This window comes from Homo sapiens, chromosome 5, assembly GCF_000001405.40.
Source record: "Homo sapiens chromosome 5, GRCh38.p14 Primary Assembly".
Classification (NCBI taxonomy): Eukaryota; Metazoa; Chordata; class Mammalia; order Primates; family Hominidae; genus Homo; species Homo sapiens.
In genome coordinates this window covers 89452643-89468118 of record NC_000005.10, presented here as the reverse complement: position 1 = coordinate 89468118, position 15476 = coordinate 89452643, and the positions used below count along the sequence as shown (strand labels likewise).

The window sequence follows — 15476 nt, the reverse complement described above, 5'->3', positions numbered from 1 at the left end:
ATAACAAAATAGTCAAACAAGAAACAATACAAATAGCTAATTTATAAATTAAAGATATTTGATATGTCTAAAATTTTTTTAAAAATATGAAAGTTAAATCCATAAAATACATTTTGTCCTATCTAATTAACAAATATCAAATACAGTGAAAATAACCAATACTAAGATCCACTACACTGGGATAGCAATGTGAATATGATGAACACACTTTGAAAATAATTTGAACAAATGTATTAAAAGCCTCAAATAAGGGTTCACCCTTTGAATGTGTAATTCTATTTCTGACAATATATCTCAGGATATAATCGAAAATGTGTGCAAAGCCTATACCACAAAGATTTTTATCGACATATCATGATATATGTAATATGGAGCAAATATTTTACATATCATGATATATGTAATATGGAGCAAAAACAGCAAAGTGGTTAATAGACTGATATTGAGAATGAGGTAAAGCCTGTGTTCAAATTCTGACTCCACTATGAAACACGTTTAACTTTTTTTTTTCCTTTTAGTTTTTTTTTTTTTTTTTTTTGCAGGGGCAGACGGTCTTTGCCCTGTTGCCGAGGTTGGACTGCACTGGCGCAATCTTGGCTCACTGCAACCTTCACCTCTGGGCTTAAGCGATTCTCCGGCCTCAGCCTCCCAAGTAGCTGGGATTACAGGTGCATGCAACCATGCCCTGCTAATTTTTGTGTTAACAGTAGAGATGGGTTTTCACCATGTTGGCCAGGCTGGTCTCAAACTCCTGACCTCAAGTGATCCGCCCACCTCGGCCTCGCAAAGTGCTGGGATTGCAGGTGTGAGCCACCGCGCCTGGCCTGTTTAACTTCTGTTAAACTCTTTCACTTGAAATTAAATGTAGTAACTAGCCTAACAAATTAGTTGTAAAAAGTACACAATGTCTAGCACAGAACAAACTCTCTCTGGAAATGACTGCAATTACTATTATTAATAATAGCCCCACATTTTAGATAACAGAAATGGTTGTAGACATATACATTACCGTATTTAAAAAAATTTTAAGGCATAAATAAAGGATGTCATGAACATTCTAATGGATATAATGTTTAATTGGAAAATGAGTTTTGAAAGCAAATATATTGTATAAACTTAACTATGTAAAAGTTTACATATAGGAGGGAAATAACTTCAAATGTAGTTATTTCTATATGATAGAATGAAAATTTTATTTTTCTTGTCTCTATATAAATATATACACATTTCTGTAATTTCTAAATGTTATGCAGTTTTATATTTGGCACTCTTACATACAAAAAACAAGTATTTGTACAAATAAAACAAATCCCTAGGCAACTTTTTTTTACAGTTACAATGATATACAAATAAGAATATAATAAATATTATTTATTTGGGTAAGAATCTGGTTTTTCCTCTTATTCTAACATCCTCCTATCATGAAATATTTATTATGTGTTCCCAGGCACTTAGCACTTGCTAGAGGCGAGCCTGAATAAGTCCCTATCCTCAAGGTGTTGACAACAAGAGATCATCTCACCAATAACATCCATGAAGGTATAAGAGATGTACACGTTTGTGATGACTCAAGAATAAATTCAAAATGACAGTAAATATTTCAGAGTGGATCATTATGCCCATTATTATACATTGATGAAATTCATTAAAAGTTTAACATTTAAAAGTAACAGAGGGAAGCTAACATTTTCTCCAAGAAAATACAATACCCAAACTTTTCAGTTACTATAAAGTTTTACTTACATAGTTCAGAAGTCTACATATTAGGTAGAGTAAGGAATTTTACTAATTGTCAGTGAATAAAAAATGAGAAATTAATATTTTCCACAAAATGAGAAAGATCATCACCTCCATCTGTGTTACCTGAAAACCTTCTTTCTTCACATGGTTTTACTTGTGAAGTCAGCTGGAGCGTGCTAAGCAATGCCTAAACTAGTTGATTATTTAAAGTCTTGCTAGTTATTGGCCAACATCATCCCAGAGTATCAGTTACAGGATGAAATTTAATATAACACGAAATTTTACCATCCTCAAAAGAAGTTTTAAGAAGCCAAGCGAAAGGGAAGATCTGAATTGCATTCTGAAACAAAGTTGTATGCTCCATCACTCCCTGTAGTCTTGGTGAGGGCAGGGTCATGTTGCTTTTGTTTCATGCTCTATTCTCTGTGTGCCCAGCACATAGTGGACTTCACTTCAGAAAGTGCTAAAAAAAAGGCATGAGAAAATTGCATTATAATGAGACTTTAAATTATACATTAACAATACTAGTAATATTAACTTCCCAATTAAAATATGAATAACTATGAAAGTATATAAATGCATTAGAGGCCTAACATTTCCTACCACATTCAGGATCTGATAAAGAGGATTCTGGAGTCTTCATTTTGTCACTCCTCATCACTGTGCGTGTAGGACATATAATGTGTGTGTAGGACATACACAGTCCTATAATCCTATAGGGTGAGAGAAGGGAGTTACTCTTTGGATGTGAGGAATCAGGGCAATAGTTGTTTGTCACAATATAGATAATAGATAAATAAATAAATAATGTTTAATTGAAAAATGAGTTTTGAAAGCAAATATAATTCATAAACTTAACTATGTAAAATTTTACATATAGGAGGGAAATAACATCAAATATCAGATAAATATTTATGGAAGTAGGGTTTTGGCATTTAACATTCTTTCAAATTCAGTATTTCAAATACATAATACGTGTTCTTTATAGAAAATTGGAAAGTGTGAAAATTAGATAAATGAGAACCTACTCCATTCTCCAGTACCCATGGGCAGCTACTTGGACAATTTGATGAATTCCTTCTCCATTTTTAAGCATTCCCCAAGCACAGAAACATAAACACACATAACCATGCTTAACTATACTATTCTTCATATTAAAGAGATCTCAGGAAAACATCTGCCACTTTGTGATTCAGTTTCTTCCTTTATAAATTCCTTACGTCATATTCAGAAGAGGTTGAAACATTTATATTAATTTTCTGTTTTTTTTACCTCCCCTAACAGACGCACAAGCTATGCTTCTCATTTGATTAACAGCTAGAAGTTATACGTAATCCCCAAAATAGAAGTAATCATGATGTACAACGTTTTATAGCAGTTCTCCCTCATTCTAGATAAGGGTTGTCTATTTTCTTTAAAACGGGGAAAATAATAACGCCAAAGTTTTATTATGAGACTTAAATAAATTGATACATGTGAAGGAATTAGAGCCATGATAAGCATATAGTGTGAATTCAGCAAATATTAGCTATTATTATTGTTGTTATTGTCCTTCACATGGACTCTGTGATTATTTTAGAAAAGACTAACGCAAAGAAGGAAGGAAAAATGAGGGCCACCTCAATAGCAACCAAAAGAAACATAGCAAAGCCAAAGAGCTGTGCTTCTTCCACTGTATTTTTATTGGAGTATAAGGGACAAATGATTACATACCGGCATCAAGAAACAAGCCCTAATTGTGAGTATGCATGGAAGGATTGGGCTGTAAGACTACACAGTATTTTAAAATATTATGTAAATGCAACAAAACAAATTATCATAATAAATATTGTAAAACCTCTCAAGATAATTCTCTCTCATGTTCATTGTGTAACCGAAGTTAATATTTGCTATTCAACTGAAGAGTAAAATAAATAACTTCATGGAATTTATAGTATCTTAATTAATCTAATTTCATCCATAAAATATATGAGTCAACTTGGCAAGGATCAAATGCAGTTTTATTTATCAATTTAAAATTTTAAAATCCAGTTGACTATTTTTAAATTGTATAAGAGTAAAAAGAACAAAAAAAGAATTATTGCTTTCAAAGGCATCCTTTCTGCTTTTCCTACTCAAAAATGGCTCTGATTAAAATTTTTAGCTTTGGCAAGCAGCTATCCAAAAATATGATCAAATGATAAATAGATGAGAGATTCATGACTAAAACTCAGCTTACTGCTGTGCTTTCTAAGTAATATTTTTCAACCAAATTTGAGTAATTATTTTTACAATGAAGACTGATGTGACTAATATTTGAGTAGTCTATTAAAAACACAAAGTGAGGGAAATGCTCATATTATAAGGATCCAGTAGACAAAGAAAAATTTACAATTAAATTTCTTGAAATTTATTCTATTTAACATAATGTCATAGGTTGGGTTTCCCAGGAAGCAGAATCAAAGGCAGAGGTGGAGGATATTGATTAAGGAGAACTCTTGAGATCAATAGCTGTGAAAGGGAAGGAAAGAAGCAGAGAGAAGTTGAACTGCATCATAGACCCAAGGTCAGCCTTCTCAATGGGAGCTCTGGAGCTGAAATGGCCCTTCAGTGTTCCCTCATGTGGGCAAAAATGGCCAAGTCTTTATACACAAGCCCTCATCAGTCATGGATGTTGGCTTTCCATGACTGACCTTGGATGAGGTGACTCTGCCTAGCTGAGGCAATTTCTAGAAGGGGCTGATGGCTAAAGGTTACCTGTCAATAGCATACCCAGTATCTGGACAAGAGTACTTCTCTGGAAGATGACCTGGGTAAAACTTCATGATCTGGGCAAAATGTCCACCACATACTCTATCATGTTTATGCAGACAAGTAGCACAATTTCAGAGGAAACCTTCAAAGAAAGAAAGTTTTATGACCTTTTCCCCCCACTCCTCTCTCCTACTTGATTTCATCAAATTACTTCATAATCGTGCTGGATACCAAATTTCCGCATCACCTCTTACAGGAAGCCTTCACCACATAACCTGACTTGGGCACACTACTATTTTTACTTATTTATTTCTTTATAATTTTTGTGGGTACATAGTAGATATATATATTTATGGAGTACATGAGATGTTTTCATACAGGAATGCAGTGTGAAATTAACACATCATGGAGGTATGAGGTATCCATCCCCTCAGGCATTTATCCTTTGATTTACAAACAATCCAATTACACTCTTTAAATTATTTTAAAATGTACAATTAAGTTATTATTGACTAAAATTTTGCTTTAGAATTATCTTTCAATGTATCAGTTTTCCTCATAGGCGAACTCCTTTAAAGTAGGGATTGTGCCTTGATCATCTTTATATTCTATTGTCTACCACATAGTCTGCATTATAATGGTCACTCACTTAAATATCTAGTGATGAGTGAATGAGTTTTCTTATATCTGTTAGCCCCTTCATCTTAATCCCTCCTAATCATTCCTATATAACAGAATTAATACCCATTCCCATATAGAAGAGTTAATTCTTCTTCTCACAATTTATAAACTCGGTTTTTTGCTTTTGTTTTGTTGTTGTTTTTGTTTTTTTAAAGACTGCCTTGATTGTCAGTGTATCACTAGGGCCTGGCTTAAACAATAGTCATTAAACAGATGAATATTGACTTAATAGCTCTGGATGGGACAATAAATGTAGTCTGTATACACAGAACTACATGATTTGAAGATTCATCATACTACTAAAGGCTTCAATAAATCTCAGAAAAATTGACATTGCAATTTTAATATTAAGTATTAAAATAAAGCATTGTACTACTTTAGAACATTTGTCATGAATTATACCAATTCAATACTTTTATTGATTTATCTGTAGAAATGTCTGCATTCCTATTTCATCATCACAGACAAAGCCTACACCCATATAGACAACGGACATTTTTGGATAGCCTGATAGTTGTATGGTTTAAATGCAATATATCACTCTATCTTAATAATTGTGTGAAGTGTGTATTATTTTCATCTCCATTTTGTAAACGAAAAATCAGGCTTCAATGATTTTAGAAAGTTATCCATGCCTACATCTAATGAGTGGCAAAACTGGGATTCAAACTGATTTATCAGATTTCAGAGAATACATTTTTAGTACCATAGCCAGCTACCAGTGCTTTAGAAATATACAGATATTTAGACTTGTTTATTACATTTATATGCACATTTTTTATCCTCAGATTTTTACATAAATTATGGCTTAAAAATTTAATTAAAAACCTGATAAATATATGTTGTGAGAAAGACAACTTGCACATTGCATTTTCCAAAGACAGCTGAAACTCCTATACCATATCTTACAGGCTCCTCTGCAATATGACCTTGCCACTCCCTGATCAAGTTGTGGAGTCTCTCTCTTGAACCTGTGCTGGCCTTAGTGGCTCTCCTGAAATCAATAAAATGAGGCTGGAAGGATGACATATGAATTTTGAGGCCAGGTCAGAAGGAGCCTTGCAGCTTCTTCCTTGGTCTCATAGACAGATCACCCTCTGGATATTTCCTTTCCAGCTACTCTCTTTTAGATCTCATATATCATTTTTAATTTTAATTTTATAGATTCAGGAGGTACATGTGCAGGTTTGTCACATGGATATATTGCATGATGGTGAGGCTTGGGCTTCTAGTGTACCCATCACCTAAATAGTAAACATTATACCCAGTAGGTAATTTTTCAACCCTCACCTCTCTCCCACACTCCCCGCTTTTGAAATACTCAGTGTCTATTATTCCACCCTCTATGTCCATGTATATCCACTGTTTAGCTCTCACTTATAGGTGAGAACATGTGATATTTGACTTTCTATTTCTGAGTTATTTCACTTAAGGCAATGGCCTTCAGTTTCAATCATGTTGTTGCAAAAGACATGATTTTATTCTTTTTATGGCTGCAGAGTATTCCATGGGGTTTATATACTACATTTTCTTCATCCAGTCATTTGTTGATGGACACTTATATGATTCCATGACTTTGCTATTGCAGATACTGCTGTCATAAACATACAAGTGCAGGTGTCTTTTTGATATAATGATTTCCTTTGGGTAGATACACGGTAGTGAAATTGCTGGGTGGAATGGTAGTTCAATTTTTAGTTATTTGAGAAATCTCCATATTTTTTTCTGTAAGGGTTGTACTAATTTACATTCCCACCAACGGTGTATAAGCATTCCCTTTTCTACACATCCTCACCGATATCTGTGGCTTTTTAACTTTTTAATAACAGCCATTCTGACTGGTGTGTGATGGCATCTCATTGTGGTTTTGATTTTCATTTCTCTGATGATTAGTGATATTGGGCATTTTTTCATGTTTGTTGGCCACCTGTATGTCTTCTGAGAAGTGTCTGTCCATTTCCTTTGTCCACTTCTAAATGGGATTGTTTTTTTCTTCTTGAGTTGTTTTGAGTTGCTTCTGGATTCCGGATGTTAGTTCTGTGTCAGACACATAGTTTGCAAATATTTTTTCCCATTTTGTAAGTTGTTTGTTTACTCTGTTTATTATTATTATTATTTTTTCTTGCTGTGCAGAAGCTCTTTAATTAAGACCCATTTGTCTATTTTTCTTTTTGTTGCATTTGCTTTTGAGGTCTTGGTCATAAAATCTTTGCTTATGCCAGAGTCTGGAAGAGTTTTTCCTATAAGATTTTTATAGTTTCAGGTCTTGCATATAAGTCTTTATTAATCTTGAGTTAATTTTATATATGGTAAAGGATAGGGGTCCAGTTTCATTTTTCTGCATATGGCTATTTAATTGTTTCAGTACCATTTACTGAATAGAGTGTCCTTTTTCCACTTCATATTTTTGTTGACTTTTTGAAAATCAGTTGGTTGTAGGTAGCCACACTTCATTTTTTGAAAGGCTCAAACTACATGGAGAGGTCACAAGCTGCACTCCATTGACAGTCAAAGCTGAGTTCAGATTTGGAGGTATTCCAACCAGGCAACATTTATGTGAATGAACGAGCTTCTAGCTCATTCCACACCCCAGCAACACTGGTAATCTCCATCATTTGAGTTTCCTCAATTAATGCTGCAGACATAGAGCATGATAATAGAATAAGCCATATCCACTCTGCCTTGTTCTGACCCATGGATTGTTTGAGCATAATAAAATGGCTCTTGTTTTATTGTAGTGAAATTTGGGTGATTTTATTTTATTTTTTTACAGAGCAGATATCAGACATCTTAGAACTAGGAGGTTTACCCTCTATTATTCAAGCCTTAGTGAACTACTTGATTCTACCTGCCTAAGAACAAATGGTAAAAAGTACAAGTTCTGAAATATTCCACAAAATACTATTTTTAATGCGTATTTACTATCACACAAGTCTGATTCGTGAATACATAAATTCCAAAATTGTTTAAATTAATAATGGAAGATGAGACATAATGATTAAGTAAGTCAAATTACTGTATCAGATGTTGATAGAGTTGAATAATCTCTCCATTTCCCACTTCAACTCCTCAGAATGGGAGATTTAACAACTTTAGGATATTTGTCATTCTTGATAACTACCTACCCAGCTAGTGCCTTTTACTGCTTTGTAGATATGGCAGTGCAGACACAAAATCTATGAAACTTTATTCAAATCAGATTTATGACAATGTAAATAGTAGTACTCGACTTAACTGCTACTGTTTAAATAAAATCTAAATAATATATGATGAGCACAAACAGGCTTTCTAGTCAATTAACTGTTACTAGAAAGAGGAAAATTCTTCTCATCATTATTTCTCTATTTGCTCTATCATTTTTTCCTATCATAAAGATGGTCTCTAAGTAAATCTAGTCATAGACAATGTAGCCAAGTAGATAAAAGTTATAGGTTACAATCTCTAGCTTCTAATGTCTTTCTTATGGGTGAAATATCAATAGATTTTGTTCCTGTTTTTATTCAAATTGATGTGGTAGAGTAAATGTATTGAGTGCTGAGGAAAAGGGAAGCTAAAATTCCTAGGACTAATTTTTGACAATCCAAACCTTCATATATACCACTCTCTGAAATATGTTTGTCCACAATTGTTTTCAGTGTTATCAACATTTAAGGATTGTGATTTTTTTTTGTCTACATTTGATGAATACTTGGATTTTGGCTTTCATTCCACACCCAGAATGTATTATATACATGTGTGTGAATGCATATATATGAATAATTGTGCAAACCATATCTTACAGTAGGTAATTCATCTATCTTTATTTTTAGAATTTTACAAAACATATTGCAATAAATATTAAAAATCAGAACTGAAAATATCACAAACCTATTAAGATTAAGGTTTATTTGTATTATTCTTTATAAAGTGAATGAAGCATTTGTTAATGTCAACATTTTTGTTATTTAATTGCCTAGCTCAGTGCAAAAGGACAGCTTTAAATATATATTTCTTCAAATGGTGAACTAATCATCATTTAAATGGCATTTGCCTTTGCTTAACATGGCTTCCTGGTTCTCAGATAAGGCTAAAATGAAAATGAAATTCTTGATCCATCCACTGCTATTTTTTTTTTGGTGCAAAAAAGTCATATTAATAAGAACCTTAAACTGATAGGAAATATGTCCAGCCCTGGATGTAGTTAACAATCTAATTAAAAGGACAATTTGGCAATTGATATGCTATCAGAAAAGAGAAAGTGAGAGAGAAAGAGAGAGACAGAGAGAGAGAGAAAGAAAAGGCAGGAGAAAACCCAGGGCCTGGCAACAAATTTGTCTCTTAAATGCTCACTTTCAAGTGTGTCTGGTTTCTAGTGCAGTTTGTTTCAGAAGGGATCAATTTTTTCCCCTTTTCCCTATTCTACTTTTGCACTGGTATTGTCTGAATCCCAGAGTGAGCAGCAATACATCATCTTGCTTCAACATCTGCTAGAGCCCCCTCTCCTCCTAATCTGCCCAGATCCCCAAAGCCTTTTCCACCTGCTATAGCGCCAAATGCTCATTACAGCATACAGCTATGCCCTTCATTGTCCTTTCTCCCAGATCCTCAAGGTTAACATGGAACAATGACTATTATTAAGTGGGGGCTTCAGGAATATAAAAGCAGACTGGGCAAGGAGAGAGAGGGTGGGGCAGTGGAAGCATTGGGTAGCATGCCAGGAGAGCTGGCAGGAAAGAGCTGCTAGAAAGCTGTGGCCAATTTTCCAGTCGAAACATGAGTCACTGAATAGAGATGCCCTAGACATAAATAGCTTCCCTGTTCATTGCCCAGGACAAGCAGAGACCACACCCTTCAGTGGTTTTGTGTCAGGGTACTTTTGGATATGGCTTTGAGCAACTAGCGCAGGAAGAGAGATAAAAATGGCCAATTTGAGAAGGCTGGCAAGTCTAGAAGTTGTGTTTACTCCTTGGCCAACTGTAAATTGTAACCAATTGGAAGTTGTTCTACGTCTTTTTTTAATACAAATCACCAACCTGTTCCTTCTATTTGCATCATCACACCAACCACCAATGGAAAATCTGAGACACATTAGCTTAGACTGCTTAGAAAACAATGAAATTCAGAATCTCTCTGACTGTATTCATTTAGATTATCATAGAATCTGAATTATTTTTAAAGGAATCTAATGGTTGGGGGAGGCAGCTTTACTTTAGATTTCCTGTCTTTGGCAGCTGTGTACCTCACTCCCAGATGCCATACTTGGTGCAATTTCCTTTTAGTTTTGTAGGAGATATTTTAAGAAGTTAAACACTGTTTCCTCAGTGACATTCATAGGGATGATCTAGATAAACCACATGAATGTCAGCTGGCCTCTAGCAGAATTGGCCAGCTCTGTCCTGGACATCCTTTCCTGTTAACGCACCCTTGGACAATGTCTCCAGCAGGATCAAGTCGCTCCCTGTTGCTCTTCCTCTCCTGGAAGTAGTATAAAACCACGGGTTCCCTCTAAGGCCACCTAGTAAAATTTTACTTGCTTCCACCACCCAGAACCCCAAGGAAGTGTGTTAACCATCCCATAGCCACAAAATGTGCTGATCTAAATAAAACACAGGCCATCCAGCTCAGTGTTCTAGCCAACACACTGGAGGGGCTGAACAAGATCTCATTAATAAAATCAGTTAGGTGTAAAACAACCTGGGCTAGATAAAGTCAGAGTTTGTTTACTTACTCCACTAATGACAACACACCTAAACTGTCAGACTTAACACTAGGAAGAGTGTTATAGTTCCCTTTTCTATTTTAAAATCCAAGTTTGAAAGTCACAACTAAACTTAGATAGACAATTTTTTAATTGCAATTAGGAAATAAGAGAGACACATTGAAAAATAAAAGTTTTTCCTTTCACTTGGATTGATCAAGATACTAGATCTTCGTTGCGGGTTTGTGTGAAGATAGAAAAGTAACTAGAGTTTAGCTAAATGGTGAACATTTCAGGAACATATTCTTAAAAGTTTAAAATTTAAACCTTGTCCTAGACATTTCATATACATTTGCCTCCGTTTTAAGATTGAGAAGTAGTAAGTAAATGCTAATAAAAAGTATTTTATGTGGGTGTAGCTTTATATATAAGTAAAAAATAAGGAGAAAATAGTTTTTACTGAGGTAAATCTTATGGAGCATATGAATGCTTTAAAGTATAGTCCTAGCTCTTTCATAGGCTTGCATTGGAATTGCTATTTCACTGTAATATTGGGAAAGTTTCATTTTACCTCCCTGGGCTTTATTTTTACCTTATAGAATGAGGGTAGAAATGGTATTTCACCTTCCTCAGAAGGTTATTTGAGGATAAATGAAAAAGCTTTGGAAAGTGAAGGTGCCTAGAATGTAGTAAGAGGTCAATCCATTTCAATTGGTATTGTTGCTAATCTATTCTACTTGATGACGTTTGCAAGACATTTTATGATTCCAAAGGACTCTATTTCTTTTATCCTTCATTCCTTTCTTTCTCTGTTTTATGATTTTTATTACTTTTTTTTATTAGTTCACAAGCCTAAATTCTATTTTAATCACTTATTACTTATTTCTATTCAAACCTTTTGAAGAGTAGGATTCTGTTTTAATTCTTTCACAAGTTTCACGATCTTGAATGAGATGATAATAAGATGGTACAACTATAAATACCACAAATTAGGGGAAAAAAAGTATCAATGACTGAGTCTTAGTCAGTTTGGTCTGCCATAACAAAATATCATAGACTGACTGGCTTGAATGACAGAAACTTAATTTCTCACAGTTCTGAATGCTGAAAGTTCAGGAACAGGGTGACAGCATAGTCAGGTTCTGGTGAACACTCACTTCTTGGCTTGCAGTTGGCCAGTTTTTTGCTGCATCCCCTCATGGCAGAAGGAGAGTTAGTTGTCTGATGTCTTTTCTTATAAGGGCACTAATCCACTATGAGGACTCAACCCTTATGACCTCATCTGCACCTAGTTACCTTACAATGGCCCCAACTGGAAATATAATCATATTGGGGGTAAGAACTTCAACATATACATTTTGGCAGGATACAGTTCAGTCTATATCAGACTGTTGTCTCAAAATCTGTGACCTAATATCATCAGCTTAATGGCAAGGTTTTCAGTAGAACCAATAAACCTTGATGACCAAGATTTCAAGTTGTCAGACATTTTGACATTACAACTGCAACTTTGGGGATGATTAGCTCTCTATATTATTATTATTATTATTACTATTTTGAGATGCAGTTTCACTCTTGTCACCCAGGCTGGAGTGCAATGGCATGATCTCAGCTCACTGCAACCTCCGCCTCCTGGGTTCAAGTGATTCTCCTTCCTCAGCCTCCCAAGTAGCTGGGATTACAGGCACCCACAATTATGTATAGCTAATTTTTGTATTTTTAGTAGAGACGGGGGTTTTACCATTTTGGTGAGACTGGTCTTGAACTCCTGACCTCAGGTGATCCACCGGCATCAGTCTCCCAAAGTGCTGGAATTACAGGCGTGAGCCACTGCACCAGGCCCTCTACACATTATTTTAACCAAATTCTTCTTTATTCCTAAAAAGTTCTTCCACATAACCTCTTCAATCAACTTTTATGCATGATTACAAATTCCACACAAATTTTGACCCTGTCTCCCCACTGTTTGCTTTCTTTCTTTCTTTCATTCTTTCTTTTTTTCTCTCTCTCTTTTTCGCCACTTTTGTCCTATCCACCCATTGCCTCATTCCCTACCTAGTATTTACCTTGTCCTACTCAGCCTTAATCAGGACAGTCCCTACATCTCCCTGCAACATCTGAAAATCTTGCCTTTGAGTCAAACATCTTATAATATTTCTTCTCTGGTTGCTTCCTCTCATTACTATCTGCATGAATCTCACCAAAGCATATGGGATTTCTTGACCACTTCTCTTTTCCTCCTTCCAGAAAAGTCAATTTTCCTGACACTTTCTCTCTAGATTCTCTTCCAATGTCTCTCCCTTTGCTTTCTCTATTTCTCTTGCTTCTATTACAAACCTAAATCTAGGCATTCCTCTAAGGCTCTTTCCTTTATCTTCCCTATTCTCACTGCATTTCCTGATACCATCCACTTCCGAAAGTCTTACTTTCACCTCTATGAAGATAACAACCAACTAATTCTTCATTCTAACTTCACAGTTCAGATCATAATCAAGATCTCAAGCCTGGGAGAAGGTCAGGGCTGGGAGAGGAAGGCATGAAGAGGTTTTTAATTGGTGACAGAAAGAATATTTCAATGATAAATATAATTATCTTTGATATCATTCTCTAGTTGATTTATTACCTGGCCTTTCATTTCATTTAACACTTTCGTTTTATACTACTTCTTCCGGTATAAAAAAAGCTCAGGCTTCTCCTACTCTACCATATCACAGTCACACTGCTGTAGCTGAGTTCCTTTTCCAGTGTCATTTGGATGGCTCTAAATAATGTGCATAAAGTTGTTTTCACCATATTTGTCTTCTTTTCTTACCATCCCCATGTGTGTTTTATGTTAGTAGTTTTATCACTCTTCTAGCAGTCCAGTCTCAAATCCCTTTTGTGTCCGTACATTCCCCCCATGGACATATATTTAATAGTCTTCATAATCTCTGAATTTTTTTCTGGAATTTCTCATGCACCTAATGGCTCCATTTCCTTTCTATTGGCATTCTTTTATTCAGACTTTCATTTTGGTTTATCCACATTATTGTATTCTCTCCCTACATGATTCTCTCTTGACTGCTCATTTCTGTCTCCCAGTTCATTATTGCAAGCCACTCATTTTCTTCTATCTTCATTCACCTTAATGAGTTCTTACTGCCTATAAAACAAAACCTAAGGCTTTCAAGGCCCGCTACAAATCAGGAAGTGCCTAACTTTTGTGATACACAACCTGCAAGTTCTCTCCAAATACCCTGCACTTTTCCCGCCAAATCCTACTTATCATTTTCCTTTTTTAGAGATGTGGTCTCACTGTGTTGCCCAGGTTGGTCTCAAACTCCTGGCCTCAAGCCAACCTTGTGCTTCAGCCTCCCAAAGCACTTGGATTACAGACATGAGCCACTGTGTCTGGTCTGCTTATCATTCTTGAATGAACTTGGTTAATAACACAGTGGTGATGCCACTGCCTTCACATGGTCAAGAGGTTTCCCCACTTTTTCCATATGTTGAAATAGTCATTCCTTTAAAGAGCAACACAGATGTCAACCTCACCTGAAGTCTTCCCTGTTTCTTCCTGCCAAAACTTTCAGTTCAGACACACACACACACACACACACATTTTTAAATTTAAATGTCTTACCACCTTCTACTATAGTTACTGTTACCCCTTCCTTATCTCTTCCAATAGATTAGGAATAACTTTGTGTCTAGAACCATATCTTATCTATACCTTCCTCCTTCTCTACCACTATTGTCTAGATCAATACATACTTGTTCAAGTAATGTAGGTTAAATTTTGATAAATATCTATCTTTGGAATAAAAATCATTAACTTACTACTATGAAAAAATCTATACTTTTACTATTATGTGTGATTTCTTAAGAGAGTACTTAAAATAATTATAATACTGTTAATGATTAGAGGAAGCTGCCTTTGGTTTTCTTTTCTCTTTTTTTTCTTTGTTTTTGAGAGAGAGTCTTGCTCTGTCACCTAGGCTGGAGTGCAGTGGCATGATATCTGCTCACTACAACCTCTGCCTCCCAGGTTCAAGTGATTTTCTTGCCTCAGACTCCCCAGCAGCTGGGATTATAGGTGTGCGCCACCACACTCAGCTATTTTTTAAAATATATTTTTAGTAGAGACGGGGTTTTGCCATGTTTGCCAGGCTGGTCTCAAACTTCTGGCCTCAAGTGATCCACCCGCCTCAGCCTCCCAAAGTGCTGGGATTACAGGTGTGAGACACCACATCCAGCCAAGAAGCAGCCTTTAGTTTTCTGAATATATGAATAACATGACATGGGCAGCTATATCATTCTTCTCTACTCTAAAAACCTAATAGGTTATTATAATTTCGTTTGCATTACTGTAAATATCTGCATTAGAAGAAATAACACTTTGAAAACAGTAATGGCTTTTTTTTATAAGAGAATATGGCTAACATTTGGTCATACGTAATCTGTGTAGACTTATAGTCCAGTTAAGGCATGTTACATCTTTGAAAAAAACATATATCCATGAAAACAATAAAAATTAAAATCTAAACTAAATATTGTTGTCAAGAGATAAAATTAAGAGTTTAAGAAGACTGCCAATTAATAAAAGCTTCTGCTACTTTAAAAATAATTGAATAACCTACATTTAAGGCAAAGTTATTTCTTTCTA

General features: G+C 35.1%; 1 long non-coding RNA gene across 6 annotated transcripts in view; it reads right to left on the bottom strand.

Annotated features, from left to right (window-relative positions):
- Nucleotides 1–537: 537 nt before the first annotated feature.
- The window catches only part of MEF2C-AS1 (MEF2C antisense RNA 1), a 584252-nt gene continuing 569313 nt past the window's right edge, over nt 538–15476 (bottom strand). For all 6 annotated transcript variants that reach the window (NR_136218.1, NR_136219.1, NR_136222.1 and 3 more), the window contains 2 exons: nt 2344–2453; nt 538–2203 (listed from right to left, as the gene is read on the bottom strand). This is a non-coding gene — a long non-coding RNA (MEF2C antisense RNA 1). The remainder of the gene's footprint in view (nt 2204–2343; nt 2454–15476) is intronic.